The 27333-nt window shown below is 41.2% G+C and overlaps 2 long non-coding RNA genes across 4 annotated transcripts in view, besides 1 other annotated feature; one reads left to right on the top strand and one right to left on the bottom strand.

The window, feature by feature from the left end:
* The window catches only part of LOC105379013 (uncharacterized), a 406546-nt gene that overhangs the window by 35359 nt on the left and 343854 nt on the right, over nucleotides 1-27333 (bottom strand). The gene's annotated exons all lie outside the window — the stretch shown is intronic.
* Nucleotides 4412-4706: a silencer, noted in NCBI's record as "tiled region #5137; K562 Repressive DNase matched - State 8:EnhW". NCBI's record gives its function as "represses a minimal TATA promoter and a strong SV40 promoter by Sharpr-MPRA in K562 cells {active_cell/tissue: K562}" and the evidence as "EXISTENCE:reporter gene assay evidence [ECO:0000049][PMID:27701403]".
* The window catches only part of LOC105379012 (uncharacterized), a 29314-nt gene continuing 23747 nt past the window's right edge, over nucleotides 21767-27333 (top strand). Inside the window, exon 1 of the long non-coding RNA XR_948411.3 lies at nucleotides 21767-22068. This is a non-coding gene — a long non-coding RNA (uncharacterized LOC105379012). The remainder of the gene's footprint in view (nucleotides 22069-27333) is intronic.

Genomic DNA, 27333 nt, shown 5'->3' on the forward strand with positions numbered 1-27333 from the left:
ATACTGCCTTAATGGTATGACAGATGGTCAACTGCTGAAATGTAAAGATTTTCGTCTAAAATGAAATCTGTAAACCTGCTCAAAAGCCTGGAAAACATCTCTATTTTTCTTTAAGTTTCCCCTCTGCCTGTCCCTCCAGCCCAGAACAAAGGATAATCAGTCAAAACTTGTGTCAGGCCCTATGATAAGCTATAGTGGTGAACCAAACAGCCATGGTCCCTGTCCTCATGGAGCTTATAGTCTAGGGAGGGAATCTGACCTTCAGTTAATCATTAACATTAAATGCTTAATTAGGTGATGACAAAGACAAATGCTGAAAAGGCAAAGGATAGAGTATAAGGTGTCCAGGTGTGAGAGGTGGCTCAGGAAATAAAGGGGCCTTGTCTGGTATATTACAGCAGCCTTTTCCAGAGAAATGGCATTGAGATTAGAACTGGTTAAGAAGAGAGGAAGGAGAAGACTGTTTCAGGCAGTGAAACCAGCATTTGCCAAGGTGCTGAGGTTTAGGAGTAGTTTCTAGCATGGCTGGGATAAAGGGGATTAGGGGAAAAATGGAATGAGATAAAGCTGGAAAGGAAGGCATGCAGCAGCTCATTCAGAGCTTATAGGCCATGTGAACAACTTTGGGCTTAATTATGTGGGCAAGGGGGAGCAATGAAGAGCTCTGAGATTTATATTTTACTAAGATCAGGCTGACTATTGTGTAAAGAGTATGTATTAGTTCGTTTTCACACTGCTGATAAAGACATAACAGAGACTGGGTAATTTCCAAAAGAAAGAGGTTTAATTCAACTCACAGTTCCATGTGGGTGGAGAAGCCTCACAATCATGGTGGAAGGCAAGGAGGAGCAAGTCATGGCTTACATGGATGGAGCAGGCAAAGAGAGAGAGCTTGTTCAGTGGAACCCCTCTTTTTAAAACCATCAGATCTCATAAGACTTATTCACTATCACGAGAACAGCACGAGAAAGACCTGCCCTCATGATTCGGTTACCTCCCACCAGGTCCCTCCCACAACACATGGGAATTCAAGATGAGATTTGGACAGGGACACAGCCAAACCATATCAGAGTACATGAAAGAGATAGGACTGGGCACGAATTACCAGTTAGAAGGCCACTGTGGTTGCGCCACTGAGAGATGATAGCTTGGCCTAAAGTAATGGCTGGAATGGATTGAAGAGGAGTGATTTCAGAGATATTTAGTGAATCAGCAAGTGGAACCAAAAAGACTTGAGGACTGATTGGATGAGGAGAGGTTAGGGAGAGGTAAAGGAAGGAGAGGAGCTAAGGATGATATATCTGTCAGCATTGTTTCTGTAGGGGTGATTGCAATCCCATTCAAACTGGCTTAAGCCTAAATGAAAATTTATTGATTCAAGTGAAGGAGAAGTCCTTGGGGTAGATCAGATACTTCATATATGGCTGGATCCAGGAGTTCAGATGATGTCTTCTAGAGTAGCTCTCTTTTGAATTCTTTATCTGGTGTAATGGCTTCACTCTCTGGAAAGCTCTCCTTGTGGTGGCAAAATAGCTGCTGGCAGCTCTAGGTTCACATCCTCAGAGGTTAGCAACTCCAGAAGAAGGCAACTTCTCAATAGTTTCAGGAAACTTCCTAGAATTGAGCCTTATTGGCTAGTCCTGGGTAACATGTTTACCCATGGAGCTAACAGGTAGGATTAATCTCACCTGGAGTAAAGACATTGTGAGCAGGAAAGGAAATTTGAAGAGCTATTCCCAGTACAAAGGTGAATGAGTGCTAAGTAGGCAAGAATGACAGTACTAATAAGGAGTCCAGGTAACTCTGAGGATTTTTACAGGCAAAACTGAGTGGATGGCGGAGGGATGGGGGTAGGGTTTATTCATTGAAGGAAGGGTAGAGTGTTGAGGGGAAAGATCACAAGTTCAGGTTTGCACATGTTCTTTTTGAGGCCTATTATCACATGGGGATATCAAGTGGGCAGATGGATCCATGAGTCTGATCCATGAGTATCAGTAGAAAATTCTTGGCAGTAGTTCAAGTTCCTGGAGTTATCACTGCACAGGATATGGACAGGATCATCTGAGGAGCGAGTCAGATGAGAAAAGGAAATTTAATGTCTGGGTAGAGGAAGAGGCTGCGGAGCCCAGAATAAAAGAAGGTCCTATCAGCTAGTTAGAAAGAAACCTAGCGGGAATGGTGCCATCAAAGTCAAGCCTCTGTCATGACAGTGAGTATGGAATGATTAACTATATGCCATGCCTCTGAGAGAGAAAATCAGATGCAGAAGTGTTCCTCAAATGTAGCAGCACTGAGATTGTTGGTGACCTTAGTCAGTGGAACAGGTGTCCTTAGAGCATTGGGGAAGGAAGCCAGGTTTGGTAGGTGGTGGAAGGGTGAATCAGAGTTGAAAATATGGTAAAGATTAGAAATTTACTATGAAGAAATGGAGATTGACAAAAGAATGGCAAGAGTAGGCAAAGGGGGTCTAGGAGGGGTTTTTGTTTTATGTTTTAAAAGAGACACTTGAACTTATTGAGAGGAAAGTTGGAAACACAAGCTAAAAGACAGAAGATGGGATCCACGGCATGGGTGGATGGAGAGATGTTGGAATTGAGAGGGACCATGTCCTCCACTGTACCTGGAAGCAAAAGGATGAACACAAAAGCAGGAAAGTTTGTATAGATCTCATGGCCAGAAATTGAAGTTGTTTCCATGTAATGGTTTCTATTATTTCTGTGAAGTAGGAAGTTACATTGTCTCCTTAAAGCGAGCAAGAAATCCAAGGTTTGAAGAGAACAGAGAGATTTGAAACAGAGTGTAGAAAAACAAACCAGAGGTAGAGTAGGATTTCAGAGCAGTGCCTGTGGCCCAGCAGGGGAGGAATTGGCCTCATCAGATCGGTTGGTGATTTCCCGCAGCAGTGCCCAGCAGCCTGAGCGCTCAACCTGAGAAGATGAACAGTGAGTCATTCAGATATGATGAAAGAGCACAGGAAAAAGGAGCTGATGGTAGAGTCAAACCCCACCACAACATTATATGTGAGATCCAAAAACTGAATTGCATAAAATGGAGAGCCTTGTTATAACTAGGTTAGTGAAATGAGGATAGGGACTGGGTGGAAGGTGGGAGCCAAACACCAATTACAGGCTGCTAACTTCGCACTGCAACAGGAGGTACCATCATGGGGGTTTTACTACATTTGCAAGGGAAAGATTGAAAGGATGAACCATAGAGTTCATGTTAGGAAGGAAGGGAGTGAGGAAAGGTGGGTGCTAAGGACAGGAAGAAGGAGGAGTTGACAAGAGAAGGTTCCAAAGAGGTGGGGGAACAGGCATGGAAAACATAGAGGGCTGGCCAACAGTGACACAGAATCAGGCTTGGGAAAGAAGGGCAGCCCTGGGCCATGGAAGCACACTGACCTAGGTGTTCAAAGACCTAGGTTCTAGTCCCAGCTCCACCACTTATTACCCATGTGGCCCTGACTCCAGATTCCTCATTTAAAAACTGGGAATAATGGCATCTTTCCTGTTCACCTCACTGAGCTGTCGTCACCAATTATCTGAAGTGCTTTAAAAGTGTGAGCTCTATTAGAAAACAGACCCAACAGTCTCTGGTTTCCTTTGTGGCAGAGAGGGGGTGTATGGAAAGGGAGGTGGTTACCCACAGACCCACCACCAAAAAGTGCTGGCCTCGCATGCGTGCAGTGCTTAGGTTAGGGAAGGAAAAACAGACACTGCATCTTCTGCCTTTAGCTGCTGCTGTTTACCAACAGGCTGTTCCTCAGCAGTGCTGTGGTTCTATTTTAATTTTTAATTGTTTGTTTTTATTCCATAACAATCAGACCTTCCTGGATCATTCATACACATCAAAACATCAGATGAGAGACACACAGCCCAAAGCCCTGATGCTTGCAGTGATACTCTGCAGGAGGCTACCCTATGTCTCCCCAACATTGGCCCTGTGTTTTTAACCCTTTATTCCTTTCCTTTTCTCCTTATTCTCCTTTTCCTATTAATCCCCCACTCTGGAAAAAAAAACATCCTTTTCTTTCTGTGGCCATCCATGTTTCAGTAAATGGCACTACTATCTGCCAAGTTGTTCAAGTCAAAACGTGAGAGTCTTTCATAATTCCAATCTTTCCCTCATATCCAATTCATTGTTACATCTGGTTGACAACTTCCAAGAGAAAGTCACTTTTTACCACCTTTATGGCCATCACCACAGTCCAGCAACCAGCATCTCTCTGTTTTTGTTTGCTTGTTTGTTTTTCAGGGACAGGGTCTCTTGCCCAGGCTGGAACACAGTGGAATGATCACAGCTCACTGGATTCTTGAACTCCTGAGCTCAAACAGTCCTCCCACCTCAGTCTCCCAAGTAGCTGGGACTACAAGCACACACCACCACATTTGGTTAATTAAAAAAAATTTTTTTTTTGTAGAGACTGGGTTTTGCTATATTGTTCAGGCTGGTCTCGAACTCCTGGCCTCAAGCAATTGTCCCACCTTGTCCTCTCGAACTGTTGGGATTCCAGGCGTGAGCCACCGCACCCAGCCAGCACCCATTGCATGGACAACTGTGATAACCTCTTATCTGGTCTTCCTATTTTTGTGTTTACCTGCCTACAATCCATTCTCCCCACAATCCGTTCTCTAAAGTCATCTTTTAAAAACACATGTCAGATGCCACTGAAAATGAAATCTGTCCCTCCCCCCGCCAACTACTTCAGTCAAGCCACCTGGGTCCTTTTTTGGGTCCTTGCTCTTGCCAAGCTTGTTTTAGCCTTGGGCCCTTTGCCACAGCTGTCCTCTTGCTTTGGAATGTTGTTCTCCCTGATCCCAGTTCTTTCTTGTTATTCAAATCTTAGATTTAATGCTACCTCCCCAGAGAGAGTCTTTCCCTGGCCACTCAGCCAAAAGTAGGTTGGATTATTTCATCTGTCTCACAGAAACATACACATCTTTTATCCTGTCCTGTCTCGTCTACCTCTTTCCCTGTTTCATTCTTTAAAAGGTTCTCTTTAACCCATTTCTTAAGTTAGCCTGTGATGTATATTAGACATCACTTAGAATCCTCTAAGCACCACCCATGGGGCTAAATTCATGGAGCAACCATATTGGCTTGGGGGTCACACATACTCCTCCCTTCCTACCTCTGTCCCTCTCTTCCTTCCTCTTGCCCTCCTTCTCTCCCCTTTTCCTTCATTCCTTCCCTCCTTTCCTCCCTCTTGTTGACATAATTAATTTGTAGGCTCTAATGAGCTGTTAGACTCGTGTTTTTAAACATCAAGGCAGTTATGGCCTAAGGACGGGAGGACCAAATTTGAAGTCCAAAGACTCAGGAGACTCAAGGGAAATTCTGTTTCCCTCCTATTTGTTTCTGAGCCCCAGTTTTCGTATATTTGAAGTGGTAGTAAAAACTACTATTTTACAGGTTTTTGCTGAGTGAGACAGTAGGTGTATCAGTTATTTACTGCCACAATATGTAATAACCACCCCAAAGCTTAGTGGCTTAAGCCAGCCATTTGGTGTTTCTCACACCTCTGTGGGTCAGCTGGGAAGTTTTGCTGATCTGGACTAGGCTCAGTCATGTATCTGCAATCAGCTGCCCACTCACCTGGGGTCTAGCTGGCTTAAGATGGCCTTCAGCTGACGCCACTCATCTCTGTTCCATATAGTTTCATCTCTCCCAGCAGGCTAGTCTGGGTTTGTGTTTCTGGTGGTGGCAAGGTTCCGAGAGAGCAATCAGACACCTTTAAGCACATTTCAAGTTTCTGCTTGCATCAAGTTTGCTACTATCCCATTGTCTAAACAAGTCTAATGGCTAAGCCCACTGCCAAAGGGCATGAATACAGGGATATGTGCAAAATCCTTGTCCAATAACACAACCCACCAAAATTGAATTGAATAATAGTGATGTGGTGCTTCCTCTCTTCCTTAATCTTCCTCAGCAGCCTTGAGCACTCTTTCTGATACGCTTTCATGATAGAAGTTATTGATAATTCCTAACATTTCCTAGACTCTATGTGCTGGGGCGCTCCAGATACAGCAGTGAATGTACAAAGTCTATTACATTTTAATGGTGGGGAACAGAGAGTGAATAAGTAAAGATTAAAATATACCCAATTCCACATACTGATGTGTGCTCTAAAAATACTCCTTTATATTTCTTTATGAGTGTGTTTTCCACACTATACCAGCATCGATCTCCTTTAGGACAGAGACTAAGTTTTCATCTTTGCACCTCAAGTCTCTAGTATGGTGCCTGGCTCCATAAGTGTTCAGTAAATAATAAACCTGCCAGTGGGCAGGAGAGCTCTGCAGAAGGCTTGGCAGTGAGGGGTGTGGAGCCATGGACTCTGCCCTGGCAGTAGCTATTTGTTTTCAAGAGCTCATTCCTGTCAAGTCTTATGTTTTCCTATGGGAAGGACTTCCCTTTCTCCCTGACGTGCCCTTCTCTCAGTAAGTCTCTATAGGGATGCCCCCTGGCTCCAATGTCTATCACAATGGTGATTCTGACCAATGGCTTGGTCAGCATTTACCCAGAACTGCTTCTCTCCTATAACCCGGGTGCAGTGGCTCACATCTGTAATCCCAGCACTTTGGGAGGCCAAGGCGGGCAGGTCAAGAGGTCAGGAGATCAAGACCATCCAGACCAACATGGTGAAACCCTGTCTCTACAAAAATACAAAAAATTAGCCAGACATGGTGGTGTGCACCTGTAGTCCCAGCTACTCGGGAAGCTGAGGCAGGGGAGTCACTTGAACCTGGGAGGTGGAAATTGCAGTGAGCCAAGATGGCGCCACCAGACTCCAGCCTGGTGACAGAGCTAGACTCTGTCTCAAAAATATAAATAAATAAATAAATAAATAAATAAATAAATAAATAAATAAATAAAAGAAGCTCTTGCGCTCCTCTTCTCGGGCACTTGTATGTCTCATCATAGGTCATTGTAGGAAAGTCAGAGAGGACAAGGGATAGGTAGGCCTAGGTGTTTTCCTCACTTCCATTTGGGATTGTGATGGTGGAAATTAATCATCTTAAGTAGAAAGGCTCCATGGTATCCCACCTCTCTCAATGTGAATGAGAGATAGACTAAAATTTATGAGTTTTGCCATTAAGCATTAGCGTTCCTTCATCACCTGGCTTGATTCTAGACCCTCTATTTACATGTTATTCAAGGCCAGGCATGGTGGCTCATGCCTGTAATCCCAGCATTTTGGGAGGCCAAGGCAGGAGGACTGCTTGAGCCCAGGAGTTTGAGACCAGCCTGGGCAACATGGTGAAACCGTGTGTCTATAAAAAGTACAAAAATTATCTGGGCATGGTGGTGTGCACCTGTAGTCCCAGCTACTTGGGAGGCTGAGGTGGGCATTGCTTGAGCCTGGGAGGTTGAGGCTGCAGTGAGCCAAAATCACGCCACTGTACTCCAGCCTGGGCAATGGGAGTGAGACCATGTCTTAATAATAAATAAATAAATATATTTAAAAATTGTTATTCAAGGCCTCTTTCCATAGACTAGTATGCCCACTTGAAGACATTGACTAGTTTAAAAAGTACAAATGTGGCTACTTGGCGGGTTTCTGACTGTTTAGCTGCTGAGCCTCCTCCTCCACTGAGGGCAATCCCACAGCATGAGTCTTGGTAGAAGACAGAACCTGCCTCCTGCCCTAGAAACTGAGAAAGCCAGAGTCTAACTTTCCTTCTCCTCACTGGCAGAGTGTGTGTGAGCAGCCTAGCCAATCAGATGCTCCAACCTGGGGCAGTGGAGCATTCTTCTCCCAGTGACCAAGGGAGCAGGGGTCACAGCACCAGCAGGAAGCAATATCTAACAACCAGCACCCAGAGGGACTATCTGTTATGGGTTGAATTTTGTCCCCTACCCCCTAAACTCATATGCTGAATATCTAACCCCAAGTATCTAAGAATGTGAGCAGATTTGGAGATGGGGTCTTTGCAGAGGTAATCAGGTTACAGTGAGGTTATTGGGGTGAGCCCTAATCCTACAGGACTGATTATAAAAAAGGGAAACTTAGACACAGAGACATACACAGAGGGAAGACACTGTGAAGAGACGTACAGGGAGGATGCCAAGTGAACATGAAGACACCATCTCCAAGCCAAGGAGAGCAGCCTGGATCAGATCCCTCACAGCCCTCAGAAGGAACCAACCCTGTGGACACGTTGATCATGGACTTCCAGCCTCCAGAGCTGTGAGAATGTGCCTCTTACCTAAGCCACACAGTCTGTGGCACTTTGTTACAGCAGTTCAGGCAACCTAAGACACCATCCTTACCAAAAAATTCTTGTGGTATGATTTTAGCTCTGATCCTTCATGATTCTCCATTTTCAGGCATTTGTGAAGCTATTAAATATCTTTTCAAGAAATTATGTTTTAGTAAAATCTGACCAAAGTTTGTTTTGTTTCTAATTAAGAAAACCAACAAGTACAAATACCATGTTCTGAAGCATTCTTCCTCTATAGGGACCTCTGGGTTCTTTTTTCTTCCTCTTTCATTGAAACAGCCCATGCTTCTGAGCTCCCTGGTCCAGCCAAGGTTTTGTAGGATTGGGATATCTGCACTTCTTCTGTGCTTAGTGGGCTTTTAACTAATCTAGTCCTGCTTCTCCCTTCAAACTTGATAATAAAAATGCAGTTTTCTTATACGACTCACCTCAGGGTTGACTGATTGTTGACCGTCTTCATTTAAATCATCCAGGATCAGTTATCATTCAAGTTGTACCACAGAGGGCTAATGTGCCTCCTGCAACATGGTACACTCTGCAAATATCAACAGGTTATCCCTGGCCCCAGTCCCTCAGGTTTTCCAACATTAAATGGAACACCAATTTTATTCCTGTGCCAGGATGTGTTTTCTGAGTAATTTACTCTGCTATCTTTACTTTGGGTTTGTTCACATTAACACCCTAACTTGAACTCCCCATTGCTGATACATTTTGATACAATGTCCAGATTAATAGTGTTCAATTTCTTGTAAATATTTGACACTGAGGATGTGAAACCACGGGGTAGCTGGGGATGTCTTGTGTCATCATTGGGTTGCACAGGCTCAAAACGCTGGTGAATTGAAGTTTTATTTTGTTGGCTGCTGGGATATCTCACAATTCAAGATATTTTTTAAAGAGAAAAATAACTACAATAGGAGTGGAAATTATTAAGCTCAGGTTCTCTATTTCAAGTTCAAAGGAAAGAAGGAGGAAAGAGGAAAAGACGGAGTGTGGTGTCAGTTTTTTCCCCCACTTTTATTTTCCAAAAAAAAAAAAAATGTAGAGAATTAACCTCTTTCCTAACAAAGAAAGAACCACGTGCTAGGCATGATGTTGACTGCTTCACAAATACTGTCCCATGTAATTCTTGCAACTGTCCTCCAACATAGTTACTAGCATTATCATTCCCATTTTCCAGATGAGCAAACATGTTCTCACACTGTTAGTTAGCCAAGTCAGCATCCTATATTATTCCAAAGCTTTCTCTTTCTACTGCACAGGTTAAAGGGGGACATGTTTTCAGCATCACCCAAGAAACCCTAGAAGTAACAGTAATAGTATTCCTTTTGTTCAGAGTAGCTGGAGATTCAACAGGACAGGAAAATTGAGTGGCTTCTGAAAGAAGCCAACAATGCTGGATCGCGTTATCACTCTTGAGACCCTCCCTCTTCTTTCAACTCATCCCTGACAACACAGGTAGAGAAACGTGTTCTGGTGTCCTCTCCTGCCTGTTCAAGCTCCAGGCTTTGATTTGTTTTGTCTATTTTGAGTGTCCAAGCATTTTGCTTCTTTTCCACTCTTCTTTTTTTTCTAGCTGCCTATTTTAGAGTTTATAGTTTAAGAATATTTGGTATATATTCTATAGCCATTGGTGGCTGTGACCTCTTGTTTTTTTCTGGGGGAAAAGACTGCATGGATGAGTGATCTTGAGCAAGTCACTTAACCCCTTGAAACTCTGGTGATTTTATCTGTAGAGATGAAGGTCCCGGACGTGGCTGACAGCAGGGGCCACCTAGACCCCCTGTTCCACACCAATGGAGATATGTCACATATCTTGCTTGTGACATGAATAGTGATCCACTATTACAAATATATGCCTTCAAGAGAGCCATCTTATAGTGGGAATTCTGAATGGCATTTGTGGTTGGTAAACAGCACCAATTTTGGGAGGTGAGGGAGATCAGACATCACGGCAGGCCCACTATGTACTTGCCACTGGCCACATTCACTCAAATACTATATTTAAAAATTAGTCTCTTGAATCTTATTACATAGGAAGAAAGTTTTGCTGTAGCACCTTTAACACCAGGACATGAAGTACACTTTGACCTGGAAGTGCAAGGCTAGGTAATTTTATAAGTGGAGTTTGACCTAATCATTCATTTTTAAATCAAATCCTTCCATTTTGGAGGTTTCAAAGGCATCGTGGGATATTCTCTAGGAAATATTCTTGAAATATTTGAACTTACTGTTGAATAAATGAAGCAAGAAGCTATATTAGGCCTCTCTCATACTACTGTCCAGAACACAGGAATAGCCTTCCCTTTGGGGCACTTATTTGAATTGTAGATTTGAGCCTATGAACTTGAGAGAGGTCTCTGTTAGGGGTGAGAGGGAGCTGCATCTTTAAGGATGCTGTAAGTTACTACCATGGTGTGAACTGAAGACTTTTATTCCCCTTCTTTCCATGGGAAAGAAAAGATGGAGCCAACTGATGGATAAATATTTCTCTAGGTAGCAAGGGGAAAAACCTACTCTTATGGTTGAAACTTCCTTTTATTACCTCCTAACCAGAATTTTTAGCTTCCAACAATACTAGGTTTCCTAGTGAGAAAATGTTATTGTCTCTTTAAGAAAGATTGTGGTCACGGTAGTAGTAGTGCTAATAATGACCATAGCAACAATAATAACATGTAACATTAACTAGGTATTTACATGTTCCAGACATCTTTAAGTGCTTTACATATATTAACTTACATAATTCTCACAATAATCATTATCTAGATGTTACTATTATTTTATTAGCAAATGAGAAAACTGAGACACAGAGAAATAAAGTGTCTTCCCCAAGGTCACACAATTGGTGGAGTTGGGATTTGAACCCAGGAAGTACAGTTATATAGCTCTTTGTGTAATATTACTTACTACACAAAAAGCCAGTGGTACCCATTTCCTCTGGAGTCTTCCCAGCTCCACCTCTGATCTGTGACTGAGAGTGATTCCTGCTAGGCTCACTGAAGTCACTCCTAGTGGATCCTCTCCTTGGACATAGCTCTATTCCAGGAACCACTCTCAGCTGCTGCTTCATTGAGGTAGTTTCTGCCATTAGAAGTGGCTTCCATCATCACCTCTTGGCTGTTGCCAGTGAATGGTGGCTCTGGTCATCCACTCCTGCCAACATCAGTTTTAGTGCCCTCTTAGTTTCTGCTGCTCCTATAACAATATCCATGTATCTCAGTCCTCAGTGCCATCTCTGGAGAGTAGCTTAACAAAGCTACAATGTTTTAGTGCAGGATCTTAAAGATAGCATCAAGGAAACAACTCTACCCATTCCCTTACATCCCCTTTGTTCTTTGAGAACAAAGGGCTATAGGACCCAATAATTATATATACCTGTGTGTATATTACTTTTGAATTTACAAAGTTCATTTAAAATGTATTAGCCCGTCTAATTCTCAGACTAACCCTGCAAGTGATACTATTATAATCCCCAGTTTACAGATGAGAAAATCGAGGCTCAAAAAGCTTAAGCGGCTTTCCTAAGATTTTATACTAAAGTAAGAATGAGGAATAAAGCTAATCTTAGAGTGTTCATTTCACCGCATAATTACCAAGGCTATTATCAGTCTTTTAACTGACTCTATAGGCAAAACAGTATTTCCTTGTTTTAGTTTACGCTGCTTTGAGTATCTATGAGGCTCTTTTCCAGTTCTTTCTTACCTGTTGCCTATACCTATTTCTCTATTTCTTTTTTTTTTTTTTTTTTTTTTTTTTTGGTGGGAAGAATGGTTATCTTTTCTGAGTTGACTAATAAGAACTCTTGCCATAATAGTGATATTATCTTATTTTACAAATATATTTTCCACTTAGTCCTGTGGTTTTTTTCTGTTTGTTTTGTTTTTGTTTTTGTTTTTGTTTTTGAGACAGAGTCTGGCACTGTTTCCCGGGCTGGAGTGCAGTGGTACAATCTTGGCTCACTGCAACCTCTGTTCTCCTGCCTCAGCCTCCTGAGTAGCTGGGATTACAGGTGCCCTCCACCACACCCAGCTAATTTTTTGTATTTTTTAGTAGAGACAGGGTTTCACCACATTGGCCAGGCTGGTATCGAATTCCTGACCTCATGATTCACCCACCTTGGCCTCCCAAAGTGCTGGGATTACAGGCGTGAGCCACCGTGCCTGGCTGTCTTTAATTTTTTATTGTTTTAGGATGTACAGAAAAGTAAAATTTTTATGTTGTCAAATCTACCAATCTATTTCTTCACGGTTTCTGCCTTAGAAAAGCCTTTTCAAACTAAAATTACATACATTTTTAAACCTAGTTTACAGTTCTATATTTCTTTAGTCTACCTAGAGTGTATTGAAGTGTATAATGCGAGCTAAGTTTCAATATGCAGTTTTTCCAATGTGTAAGCTGTTATCCCAACACTATTACTAAATAACGCATTTCTCCCTACCAATTTGTTCTTCATTACGTTTTAAGTAGTATAGATATTTGGTTTTGACTCCAGGCTTTCTATTCACTTCCTTTGATATGTTAATACTGATTCTAGTTATGGTTTCTCCCTTCTCTACCCCATGACCACCCCAGGTGCTAAAGGTAGAATCCACATCTATCTCAGCATCACTCTGCTGTGGGCACCCAGGGTCTTGGCAACAGCATCTAATGCCTTGTCACTTGTGCCCTCTAGGCAGAAGAAGAGACATGGATTCTGGGTCCCAAATCAGGATGAATGAGCTGAAAAAAAAAATACTTCCTTCAGTTATGAATGTGTGTGTGTGTATGCATGTGTGTGTCTCAGGGCTATGTATCCCATGGCCCATGGCTCTCCAAACCAGAAAGCCATTTTCTACCTGTAACTTGTATTACCAAATAGAACGTCTAGAATCTGGGGCTGACTTTGTGACTATTTCCATTCAGAAAACTCTTTCTTATTCAAGAAAAGTTTTGCTCCACTTAACGTGGGATTTTTTGCAGAAAATTTTGCAACCTTCATTTTCTTTTAAGGTGTGTAGGTCATAAGGAAATGTGGAAACACATGAACATTTAAGACCTAAGCAACTGGATGTGTAGAAGTTAAACACTGGTCTGGGAAGTCAAAGAACAAATTTCCTGTTCTTTTCAATCTCTGTGACATACCCATCTCTGTGCTTCTGACAAACCCATTTATGGTTTGTTCAGGCCACTTAAAATGATAAAATTTTACAACCGAAATGGACCCTAGAGATCTTCTAGTCCTACCTCGTTATTTTTACAGATGTAGAAACTAAGCCCAGAAAGCTTACATGGCCTGCTCTACAGGTCAGAGCCAAGGTTAAGAGAGGGTGTCTCAATGCACTACCCTCTGCTCCACCTCCTCAATTAATAGGAAAAAGTTAATTAAATCAAGCAATTCAACCTGTAGTGATTGTATTAAAATCCAAAACTCAAATCAGGACATATGCTGAAAGTAGAACAGTCTTTCAAATGAATTGATTTAAATACATCTTAGATTGAAAAAAAAAACTATACTGTAAATAGTTATAAGCAAACAGTCTCCTCACTCTTTCTTTTTCTGTCTTTGTTACACCTTTCTCCACTCTCTCCCACTCCTTTCTTCCCCTACCTCTGGAGCCTCTCCTGCCAGAAATAAAACTTGTGGCACAGGCTTCTCATTGGAGCCCCCACAGTCCATTTGGTTGTAATGAATGTGCCTCTCTTGTGTAGGTTGCAATCGTTTTGCAGCCTCTGCTACCAAGCTGTGGTTCTGAGTTCCAGAATTCAGGCAGGAATAGGCAAAGTGGGTTAAAGCAAAGTAGGCCGTGGACAGGACGTGCTCATGGACACAGTGAGTCTAAGTCTGCAACCCAGCTAACCAGGACTTCAAACAAACTGGATTTAAAGTCTTCCTCTCCAACCCCCACTGCCCTCCCACACATTCTAGTCACCCTTGAAAGGAAAGACGATGATGACTGCAGTTACGCAGGCAGAAAAGGGGACCGATGCAGCTTCTGGCACAGAAAATGAGAGGAATTAAAATCTTGGGTTCACACACTCTCTCATATTGGTCTTTGCATGGTCTCCTTTTATTCTGCTAGTCAGTTCGTTAATCAATTATTAGTAACAAGGTAATAAGAACCCAGAATTGGCCATTCAAAACAAAATCTCAGAACTTGATGCTAATCTACATGTAGCCCACCCCACACCTGTGGTCACCATCATCCTTTTAAAAAGCTTTTTATGGGCTGGGCGCGGTGGTTCACGCCTGTAATCCCGCACTTTGGGAGGCTGAGGCGGGCAGATCACAAGGTCAAGAGATCGAGACCACCCTGGCCAACATGGTGAAACCCCGTCTCTACTAAAAATACAAAAATTAGCCGGGTGTGTTGGCGGGCGCCTGTAGTCCCAGTTACTTGAGAGGCTGAGGCAGGAGAATTGCTGGGACCCGGGAGGTGGAGGTTGCAGGGAGCCAAGATCGTGCCACTGCACTCCAACCTGGCAATAGAGCAAGACTCTATCTCAAAAAATAAAATAAGATAAAATAAAAAGCTTTTTATATGTTTTAATGGCATCTATGTATTCATGAAAGTATTTCTTAATTTTTAACTGTTTTCAATATTATACAAATGTTATTCCACTATGTCTGAGATTTTCTTCAAAATAATAAGGGAGGAGAAAAGCGGGTAAGAGGTATATATGGATGAAACAAGATAGGCCAAGATGGAAGCTGGATGCAGGATGCCTGAGGGAGGTGACAGTATTCTCTTTTGTATGTGTTTTAAATTGTCCATATAAAATTTTTAAAGGGTATCATGCTGTATGTAATACTTTAGGAGGTTTTTTAACTGAATATTATATTGCTAAGATTCCTGCCTATTGTGTGTTTTGATCTCGTATAATACAGTCCCTATTGCAAATAGATCACTGTTTATTTTTTACTATTAAGGATTGAAGCAAAGGAGATTTTTGGTTAACCCAAAAATCCAATGTAGCAATATTTTCCCTTTTCCCACTGACTGCAGTTTCCTCGATTTTTTTCATGCTCCTCTCCAATTCTGTCCTGCTCCTGAATATATCCATCCCCTCCACCACCCCACCCCAGAATTCCATGAGGCAGCTGTAACTCCAGTTGAACTTTGGCCAGAGAACTTTGGTGTTTCAACTTTTTCCCATTGGATTTGGCTGTCAGTCACCACTTAGACCTTGGCTTCCCTGAGGTGTAGCCCTACCACTAGGAGGCCTTTCTCCCTCTCCTCCCTATGTGGCCTCTGGCCTGGCCATGGAGGGCCCAGCAGAGCTCTAAGGGAGGGCTGCGAGGGGTGCCTCCTTTGCGTTTTTGAGTCTCTGAAGTTGCACTCTATTTCTTTGGCCCTTCTGCAGCAGGACAGACTCACTCTTCCAGGGACCATCTCTGAGGGCTTTCTTCCAAGTGGATGGGCCTTAGCTGGAGCTAAACTTGCAGTCTTTCATGCAAAGTCTGCTTTAGAGTCAAAGCCAGAGACAACAGAGTGTGTCTCTATTTTGCCTTGCTTAATGATGTTTTCATCATTTTGATTTTTCATCCATGTGACATAGAATGCCACTTTCAAAGTACTTCTAAGCTGCACAGAGGTTGACTTGCTTGGAGCCTTAGCAAAAGCCCTCTTTCCAGGGCTTGTTCCATGTGACTTAAAATACTAATCATTTCTTTCATTCATCAAATATATAGTTGTTGCCTATGATATGCCAGGTACCATGCTAGGCTCGGTGTGTACAATGGTAAATAGGATGCAATCTTCTGCTTTCAAAGGGCTCCCCATTCAGTTAGGAACACAGGAAAAGACATGAGCAAATACAACAGAGGCACTTGCAGTCTGGGCTACATTATAACTTCCTAATATTTTGCCTTTGTTGACCCCTTCTTCCATAAAAATATTAAAAACTGTATTTCATGTTTATACGAAGTGCCTAAAGACAAATGTATTAATATTATATATTAAAACACTTTCTTCAATCTGAAAATTAACTTTTTCTTCCGGTTTTAAAGGAAATTAAAACATTTTCATGGGCCTCTGAAAGCATTGTGGGCCCTAGATTCTCTGCCTACTTTGCCTAATAGAGAAGTTAGCCCTGCTTGCCATACATATTTTCTTCCCTATTTTAGGATAACTCAGCCCCCCTGTTTTATTTCTTTCATTCATTTCTGAGAATGAGGACTCCTCTGTTATGACAATTCTGTGTTTGGTTTCCATCAACCGAAACTGTGCATATTGACAAAGAGTAACAATGAAATCACATTTAAATGAAAGTATTTTAATTTATCATGACAGCAGCTTCAAATATGTCTGTCAAACAATAAGAATGGCTAAAATGCACCGAGCCCTAACTATGTAAGCAGCACTGTTCCTCAGATATTAACTCATTTAAGACAACAACCCTGTGAGGTGATATTATCACCATTATCTCCATTTTACAGATGAAGAAACTGAAGTATTCAGAGGTTAAATAACTTGTTCAGGGCCACACAACTAGTAAGAGACACAGCCAGCATTTGAACCTAAAATGTTAGTCTCCAGAGCCTTCCTTGCTATGTTAGATGACCTAGGACATAATTATGTGAAACCTTACCCAGGCTGTTTTCTACCCAGCTGTGAATTTCTCGCTCTTTACAGAGCTGCAGCTGCCAGGAGCCCACAGTCCACAGGCTGGGAACATGTACTTAGGGTAAAGGTTCTAACCCTTCTCATAGCATTAAGCTGTCATGGGACTCTGTTAGTACCTGAAATGTTTCTATTTCAGGGAGCCTATTATGGGTGCCCTAGGGCTCCCTCTGGTAGCTGTACATGGGCCAACTGAACAAGAAGCTTGTCTCTTCCACCTCAGTTCTCTCTACCCACAGAATGATCTAGGAGCTCTGGACTGCCCTAGACCCTTGCATTGTCCATAGACTTGAAGACTGGAATTATAGCCACTACCTCCCTGGGTTGCTTCCTCACCAACAATGTAGATTCACAGAAAAGGAATTTAGGTTAAAAAGATGATGTCTTAAATTCTAGGTCCACAACGCCAGAACAGTCCTTGTTTGCCAAGTAGAAATTTATGTAATCACAAGACTAAAGACACTTTTTATTTCCAAAATGTTTTTGCAACCAACATAATAATTCCCCCTAAGTAAGTGCCAAAATACTTTTCCCTGAGTCCTCTTAAGTGCTTTGAGTTGCTAGAAAAATATGCTTCTGAAATTTTACAGTTAACTCTGGAGCTGAAGCTGTGCTATATAAGAAAGAAAGAGATGAAGGGAACATTTAAACTGTGATAGACATCATGGGAGAAGGGGAGACAATGGTCTGACTCGTATATACAGTTTTCTGGTCCACAAATATCATTCGCTCAACAAGACTTTTAGTACAGAATCAAAAGCAATGGTAGAAAACTATGATGGTTTTTCTGTATTGGAGAGACAAAGCTTCAGAGCTTGTCATTTTTTTTTTCATTCATGCAGGTTGGAGCCAACACGCATGCTGTGCCTAAATAATAACATATACAATTAATGGAGGGAAATATATGAGAGCTGGCCCAGAATAGTCCTTTAGACTGTGACATTTGGGCAATGAGCTGACAGATTAAAAAGATCATGTGGCCTTCTAATACAACATTGCCTCCTTTCTTAAAAACAACCAAAAAATGATGTTTTTAAAAATAAGCTTAAATACCATGGGAGTCTATCCCTAAGTCCCTGGACTCTGCATAAAGAAGTGTCTAATCACTGAGCTGGAGTTTCTGGAATGGGATTCCAGGCAGAGGCAAATGCTTCCATCAGGGCTTGTGGACAGGTGACAGATGGTGGATTTTCGCCTTTCAGCACATAACTGTAACCTCATGCACTGTCTGAGTTTATTTTCAACCCCCTACACAAGGGCTTATTGTTTATAATAAGCTGTCCTCTAAACCCATTTCCAGGAAAAGATTCCCCATGTGTGTCAGCCTGCATCACTTCCCGGGCTGCACAGTGACCATGAAGACTCCAGGCCAAATGTCAAGAGCCAACACAGGGGAGGGGGCAATAAATTTTCCAGTCTTTGTTATAATTTATATTAGTGCCCAGTCAGTCTCAGGTGCATCTTAGAACACATTACTTAGAATTTGCAGCCTCACTTCTACTTTCTCACCCAGAATGAAAACCAACACACATTTCACCAAGCCATTTCTACTTGTTATAAAAAGAGGGAAGAAAATAAAATTTTGTCTCACAGGTCAGGTTTCTATCTCAAGGTGGGAAAACTCAGTAATTTATACTCAGAAAGTAAACAAGCTGCACCCACCCCCAGCCTACAAGGTGTATAAACATTAAATGAGCAATTCTAATTTTATTCTCAGAACTGTTTGTGTTCTGAGTCAACTCTTGCCTTCTCTTTATTTTGAAGCTAGAAAATACAGGCCTCTGATTTTATCTAAGACCCTGTAATTCCACTGGGCTTTTCAGAAGGATTGGGGTCAACACAAGGACATGAATCTGAATGAGCACAAACTCTAGCTATACGGCCCCACCTAAAATGTGAGGCAAAGAACAGCTCTGAGATCCATGAACATCAATTTACTTCAGGGAGAAGCTGGATAAAACTTTGAGTTTGGTCTCAAAATAGCCTGAACAATTTTAGTTTTCTGACAGCATTTGGTGGCAAGCCTGTTAGAGAACAGCATCTTGAAATTTCCCATTTGTGTGCTGTAGATAGCATATCATCTGGGCACACCCAGAGCTTCAGAAGCATTAATCACCAAGGTACACCTGCCATGGAACACAGGTCTCAGGAGAGAAAGGGAGAGAGTTTTCTATGGACCCCCATACCTTGTGTTGCGTACATTTTTGCCTACTTGATTGACTAACAACTCACCTAATTGCTAACCCAGGGAGCCACTGGGGTGCAGTGGTTAAGAGCGTGGACACTTGAGTGAGGTCTTGATTCAAATCTCAGCTCTGCCATGTACTGGCTGTATGATCAGAGACAAGTTTCTTCTCTGAGCCTTAGCTGTCTAATGAGACGAAGTCTGATGGGACCTAGCACAGTACCTGCACATTTAGGGACTCAAGTCTCTTTCTCTCCCACACTTTTCTTTCCCTGAGCATTAATAAGAAGGATAAGTATGAAAGTACTCAGCATCTATGTATTCAAACTAGCTCACTAGACATAAATGTGGCAGATATTCTTGTGATGGTACAGGAAGAGGCCAAGAATAGAGACCTTCATCCTCACTTTGCTTAATATAGGCTCAAAGTTCCCATATAAATGGACTGGTTATACTACAAATATGTCAGGTTTGGTATAACTTGAAATATATGGCCCAAAGCAGGAAAAAACCTTTCTCCTTATATAAAGGTGCTTATTGTAATAGAATCAGCCATTTTATAATCTGATCCATATTAGCATTTTTTACTTGACAATCTCAAAGAAATTCTTGGCATCAATACTGACTTTTTATAACATTGCCAGTGGGTAAAGAAGATAACAAAACATTTGCTCACCAGTTATGCACCTTAGCTTCCAGCATCAGCTGTGTGAGTGAACCAAAAGGGCAGTTGCAGAAACTGAATATAGACTCCCATCCCTCACTCTAGCATTCCCACCAATAGGACTTACGTCATCCTTCCTGGGCAGTTGGGTGGATGGGGTTTAAGGGAGCGTGTGAATTCAGGAGACCTGCTTGGCTGGTTCATAGAATTTGCCCTGGGTGGAGCTTTAATTTTAAGGAACACCTTCCTTCTGTGGGCCTGAGGAGCTGCAGTGTATTTAAGCTCTAGTCTGCTGGACTTGAATGAGCCCAGTGGAAAGGAATGGCTAGTGTGATCATAGAGCCTTTAAGACATTGGACACTCACTCACTCACCTATTAAAGGAGGAACAAGTCTTAGGAATCATGCTTCCTTGGTGCCCATTCACTCACTAAGCTCTTTAGGAGATTTAGATTAGACGCATAGATCTTAGCAGTCCTCCAAACCAAACGCCTTGTTTTACCGATGAATGAACCAGCCTAAAGTCACACAGATCATAAGTGGCAGATCCATGACCAAGGTCATGATTTGATGATTTCTAATTCTCTAACACCCTACCCTTCCTTATGTAAAGACAAATTAGATGAGACTTTGTCCTCAAGGAGTTCACAATCATGCAGGGGAAATGAGACTGTGCAAATGAACAATGGTTATCCCAGCATGAAAGCGTGATAGGGAGGGGGCAGAGATTTAACATATGCTGAACACCTACCATGTGCAAAGGGTTTATTATACATTTTCTCATTTAATCCTCACATCAAACGTATGAGGAATACATTATCATCCCATTTTATTGATAAGGAAATGGAGGCTCAGTGATTCTGCTGTAGCCTGTCTACATATCCACTGCTCTGGAGACCCAGGTTGAGTGGACTCCTGAGGAAGGGTGGTTCAGGCGGAGAAGGCTGCTTGGAAAGATGAGGCTTGAGTTGGTGCATTGCACTTGATTAGGTGCAGAGAAGCCTCAACAGATGGAGGAAACACAGATGGTCTCCCCATGATTACATCACCACCCAGAGAAGGTTGGAAGCAGTTACACGCCCACTGCTTTGCAGTCTCAAATGTAAACTGCCTAGAAAACTGAGCATGCTGATGAGAAGTTTTGTCTTAAACCTGCAGCACCCCTATTTACAGATGGTCTATTCTGAGCAAGGAGCAACACAATATATAGTGGGGAGTTCCTGAGGATGTAGAGGACCCTGATGCCCCTTTTGTGAGTTTATCATTTCATGAAGAACTAGAACCGGCATCAGTGAAGGGCAGAGAGACGGACAGTTGGACGTAGCCATATGCAAGTGCTGAGGGAGAGTCAGGGAGAACAGAATAATGACAGGTAGCATGGTGTGGTGTGTGGCGAGTTTAAGAAGGAGGAATAGCCTGAGCAATGGTTTGAAGAACTGGCTTGGCAGAGAGCAGGGAGAAGCTCCTGAGGGAAGGTTTTGAGGTGAAGAAGGAAAATTCCATGCTTAGCTGGAGGAGAGAACACAAGACAGAGTATGGCAGCTGGAGATGAAGCAGTTTGGTAAGGAATATATGTTGGGAAGTTTAGAAACTCATAGATTCAACCACATTACCCTTGATCACCTGTACACAGAACCTCAAAGACCTCATCCACTTCAAATACCTTTGGTTATTACTTTGGTGTTGTCATATCCCCTGTGTACATGGGGGTCCTGAGTCAGAAAGAGAAACAGAGAAAGGCCTTTCCAGAACTGAGATTTGTATTATCCCCTTTCCCTAACAAAAGTAGAGGCTTAATGCAAGAGATCAACTAGATTCAAGTAAACACTTAATTTACATTTTATAAAGGGGCTTCAGAATGCACATAGACCTTCAATTGAAATGTGCAGGAAAATTAAATCACTAACTATCAATGGGCATGAGTTGCTCTTTGAGGAATCTCTATTATACATAAGCTTAAGGAGATGCTCAAATACACTGGGTGCCCAATTTTCTGAACTCTTTGTGGCTGTAAAGGTGAAAACTGGAATTTGTGTTTAGCAAAGCCTCTCATGCAGTAAGAAAGTAAAAACATTCTTCTTGAGGAAACACTGGACAAATGGAAATACCTAAAGGCGGGGGCTTCAGACTGAGATGATAAACATACTGTTTGACAATAAAAGACTTGCAATAATAGGTCATTGTGTTTATTTCTGCAAAAATAATATTCGTTGCCTGATTTTTTAAACTTCCTCTAATGGAGAGAGAGACAGAAGACTAGAACGTTGGTCTCTGGGGAGTGACCACGGTTACCATAAACAGTGGTGCAGGGAGTGCCCTGCAAAATGTGCCTGCTAAGAGGACAACTGGGGAGAGAAATACAGTAACCTCCATTAGAATATGAGTTCCATGTAAGGTAAGGGTCTTGAGATCTTGGTTTCTTTCATATCCCCAATGTCTAAAACAGTACTTAATGCATAGAAATTGATCAAAAAGTGTTTATTAATTGAATGAATAAAGAAAAAAAAACCATGATCTCAGCAATATGGTATTGGAGTGGAGGATCAGGAAGAAGGCACCCAGGAGGCTACTCCTCCCAGGAAGAGGCAAGGCCACTACTAGGGTATTCACGTCTCAGATCTAGTTTTAAATTTTTCCTATCTCATAGTTAGGAGATGACCAGACATGGCCAGCGTGGAGTGGTTCAGGACGAGAGCTGGGAAGAGTGGCAGACACTGCTGGGTACTCAGCAGCCCAGCTCCCCTTTTCCTTACCAGCCATATTCATATTTTGTTTTAGATGGGAGTGCACTTTGCTATAATCCTTGCCTTCCCAGGCTTCAGAAAATGCACTGACACTCATTTCAGGTCACTGAGATATAATTAAAACTTGGCTAGGAATTTCTGGGAAAGTTTCACTTTTCTGCTTCAGGGGTTCCCCCTTGGTCCTTTGCCCCTTATTCTTTCTGCTGAGAGTAAGGACATGAGCCTGGAAAAAGGGCAGCCATTCTGTGACCATGAGGCAACAAGCATGAGGCAAAAAGTCACATGTTAAGGATAGAGGAAAAAAATGTTGATAGGACATGGAGCTCCTAAGACTTTACAGAGCCCTCGTACTGCTCATGTCCAGACTTTGAATACATGAGAAAATCACCCCTCCTCCTGTTTGGTTAAACCACAGCAGTTGAGTTTCTGTTACATGCAGCTGGACCTAATTTCTAACTGACACAATAAGCAACCACCAGGAATGTAAACTCTACTGGGATGCTTAGAAATACTTGAGCAGGATGCAGGACTTCTTGTATCCAAAACGGAGACTTGGACTAAGACTGATGGACTTCCAAGGACACAGTGGCTCCTCAGGAGGTTGGAGAACTTGGGTTACAAAGTAAAGAATTTTACAACAGTGAAGCCTTTGGAGTTACTGAAATATACTATGAAGGCAGCCTACAGATTCTAAAGTATGTGTTTTGGGAATTTCCGTTCTGACAACAGCAGAAATGACCCCTTAGTTGAACAATGCCTGAAAGAGCCATCTGTCTAGAACTGCAACAAGCTTGAGCTGCAGTTCTCATACCAGTTTGAGAACTTCACATTCTTTCTGTTGCCTAATACCACTGAGTCGAAATGACCCAATTTACTTTGAATGGTTGCTGTTAATTTGATCTCCAAATTACTGGTTGGTAATTTTAGTGTCCATGATCTGAAAGTACCCTGTGATTGTAAGGAGGAACAGTTGATATAATCACTATCATCAAAATAACAACCTCATTTCACATGCTAACACCTTGAGTTTGTTGACATTGTTGGTAACTGTGGTACACATCTATTCTGCTTTACACAATACTGGTGTGAATTAGTGTCCTGGAGAACTGTGGGCTCTTTGAAGTATATTTGGAGACTACCCTTAGCATCCATGCAGCTAGAAACAACAGAAAGGTGTTGATTGGTAGATATATTTTTAGTCAGATTACTTCAGCCCCAAACAGAAAGTGCTTAAGGCAGTAAGTACTGAGGTACATCTGATTAGGGCTCATAAACTTTATTCAGAACTACTTCTATAGCTAAGTGGCTGGTGTGACATGGTGTGTCTACATGTATGTGTGTTTTGGTGAATGCCTTTAGGTGATCCACTCTCATATTTAAAAAAATAGATTCCCACTTTTATCCTATAGGGCTTCAAAATTTACTTAAAAAATAGCTTTTTGCATTCACCACAGCTATGTGAGCTAGTTAGATGTCTTAAGCAAAATACCTCCACCCCTTTCAAATGAACAAACTAAAAGTAAGCTTTGATATGAGGCCGGTTCTCAATTATTTCTGAGAAAGGTCAACAACTTAGATATTATATTCAGATGTACAAAAGTAAACACAGATTTTCTCTTTCACATTTCATCTTGTTTGGGAGCTCTTCATTTCTAAAGACAGCAAAGAAAAGTTGATATTTTCACATTGCCACTCAGGGTTACTCTGTTTCTGCTCTTCCTTGAACTGTTCCAGACCTCTTTGGCTCTTGCCTCTGTTGCCTTCACTTGTCTCCAGTGTGATGCAGCTCATCTTATTTGCCCTGGCATTTGAGCTAGAAGTTTATAGTTTCTGTCATATTCTCCTGTCACGAAGACCTGACATCATGAAATGATCTCCTCATCTCCCCTCTCAGACTGTTCTCTGTCCCTCTCTGGTCCAGCGCCCTATGGCACTTCTTGATTCCTTTATTGAGGAGCATGGGGACACTGAATGCCTGTCCAGGCCACACAGACTACCTCCTTTCTAAACTCCTTCCTGGGTGGCACCATGTTGCTCCGTGCCAGGAAGAAAACAGGAAACTCCCCTATAGGGAATCAATATTATAATATTTACGTTAAAACATTTGGAATATGTCAACCTCCCCTCAGAGTTTCTCGAAACTTTATTCCCCCAGGGATTTTGATCCAGATAATGAAGTCATGTTCCTCAATTCTGACATCTTGCTTCTCTTTCTTCTCCTTCCTGGGCTCCTCTCTCTGGAATCTGAAGGGCTTTTTTACTTTTCCTTTCCGTCAAGTAAAATTTTTTCTTACATCATATCCTCCTTCCCCTTTTTACTACAGTCTACAAATAAATCTCTGGAGTTCAAATCTACCAAGCTTCACTCTTCTCCCCCACCCCCCAAAAGCTCTATTGAAGGACAAGTACAAATAAAAATTAAATATATTTATGGTATACAACATGATGTTTTTATATATGTAAACATTGTGAAATTATTAAATCAAGCTAGTTAACATATCTACCACTTCACTACTTATCATTGTTTGTGGTGAGAACATTTAAGATCCATTCTCTTAGCAATTTTCAAGTATACAACATATGATTGTTAACTATAGTTAACAAGCTGTAAAATAGATCTCCAGAACTTATTCATCCTGTCTGACTGAAACTTTGTATCCTTTGACCAACATCTCTCCATATTCTCCCTTTCCCACCCCGCAGTCCCTGGCAACCACCATTCTACTCTCTGCTTCTGAGTTTGACCTTTTCAAGATTCCACATTTAAGTGAGATCATGAATTATTTGTCTTTCTGTGCTTGGCTTATTTCACTTAGCATAATGTCCTCCAGATCCATCCAATTGTAGCAAATAACAGGATTTCCTTCTTTTTTAAAGGCTGAATAGTATTACATTGTGTATATATACCACATTTTCTTTATTCATTCATCTGTTGATGGCCACTTCAGGTTGATTCCATATCTTGGCTATTGTGATAATGCTGCAATCAACATGGGAATGCATATATATTTCAACATACTGATTTCATTGCCTTTGGATATATACCCACAAGTGGAATTGCTGGAGCATATGGTATTTCTATTTTAAATTTTTGAGAAATCTCCACACTGTTTTCCATAATAGCTGTACTAATTTACATTCCTACTAATAGTGTACAAGAGTTCCCTTTTCTCTACTTTCTCACCAACACTTGTTGTCTTTTGACTTTTTGATACCAGCCATCTAAAAGATGTGAGGTGATATCAAACTGTGGTTTTGATTTGCATTTCTCTGATGATTAGTGACATTGAGCACCTTTTCATATTCCTATTGGCCATTTTTATGCCTTCCTTTGAGAAATATCTATTCAGGTCCTTTGCCATTTTTAAATAGGGTGGTTGTGTTTTTGCTATTGAGTTGTGGGAATTTCTTATCTAATTTTGGATATTAGTCCTTTATCAGATTTATGGCTTGCAAATATTTTCTGTTATTCCATAGGCTGCCTTTTCACTCTGTTGATTGTTTCCTCTGCTGTGCAGATGCTTTTTAGTTTTATATAGTTCAACTTGTCTACTTTTGCTTTTTTTGGCCGGTATTTTTGAAACCATCTCCAAGAAATTATTGCCAAGACCCATGTCAAAATTTTCTCCTATATTTCTTCTAGGATATTTACAGTTTCAGGTCTTATATTTTAGTCTTTAAGTCTAGATTAAAGAGACTGTACTTTCTCCATTGTGTAATCTTGACACCCATGTCAAAGATTAGTTGGACTATATGTGTGTGAGTTTTTTTCTGGGCTCTCTATTCTGTTCCATTGGTCTATATATCTATCTTTATGGTAGTACCATACTGTTTTAGTTACCGTACCTTTGTAATATATTTTGAATCAGGAAATGTGATGCCCACAGCTTTGTTCTTCTTTTTCTAAATCACTTTGGCTATTGTGGGTCTTTTGTGATTCCATATGAATTTTAGAATCATTTTTTCTATATCTGTAAAAAAATCTCACTGGGATATTGATGGGAATAGCACTGAATGTGCAGATTAGTTTAGGTAGTATGGATATTTTAACAATATTAACTCTTATTATCCTTGAACATGGAATGTCTTTTATTTATTTGCGTCTTTCTTTCATCAATGTTTTAAAGTTTTCAGTGGAGAAGTCTTTCACCTCCTTGATTAAGTTTATTCCTAAGTATTTTACTCTTTTTTGTGCTACTATAAATGGAATTTTTACATTTCTTTTTTAAATAGTTCACTGTTAGTGTACAGAAACACAATTGATTTTTGTACTTTGATTTTGTGTTCTCTACCTTTACTGAATTCATTTTTTAGCTCTAAAGGTCTTTTGTGGAGTCTTTACCGTTTTCTACATAAAAGATTATGTCATGTGATGATTTTACTTATGCCTTTCCAATTTAGATTTCTTTTATTTCTTTTTCTTACTTGATTGTTCTGGATAGGACTTCCAGAATTATGTTGAGTATAAGTGGCAAGAGTGGGCATCTTTCCCTTGTTCCTGATCTTAAAGGAAATTGTTTTCAGTTTTTCACTACTGAGTATGATGTTAGCTGTGGGCTTATGATACATGGTCTTTATTATGTTAGGGTATATTCCTTCTATATCCAGTTTGTTGAGTGTTTTTGTCATGAAAGGGTGTTGAAGTTTGTCAAATGCTTTTTCTGCTTCTACTGAGGTGATCATGTGATTTTTATCCTTATTCTATTAATGTGGTATATCACACTTGACTCTTAACAAGTAAAGGGAAGTTTAACTATGTAGAAGATTCTTGTATTTTTCAAAAGCTTGGCTTTCAAGATTATTGTGCCCACCATCTCTTTCCCTGTGGCAACCAACTTTAAAAAGGAACCCAGGTAAATAGGATTTGTCAGGGAATTTCTTGAAAGGAAGAATAAGAAAAACTAATTTAATATTTT

This window comes from Homo sapiens, chromosome 5, assembly GCF_000001405.40.
Source record: "Homo sapiens chromosome 5, GRCh38.p14 Primary Assembly".
NCBI classification, from domain to species: domain Eukaryota; kingdom Metazoa; phylum Chordata; class Mammalia; order Primates; family Hominidae; genus Homo; species Homo sapiens.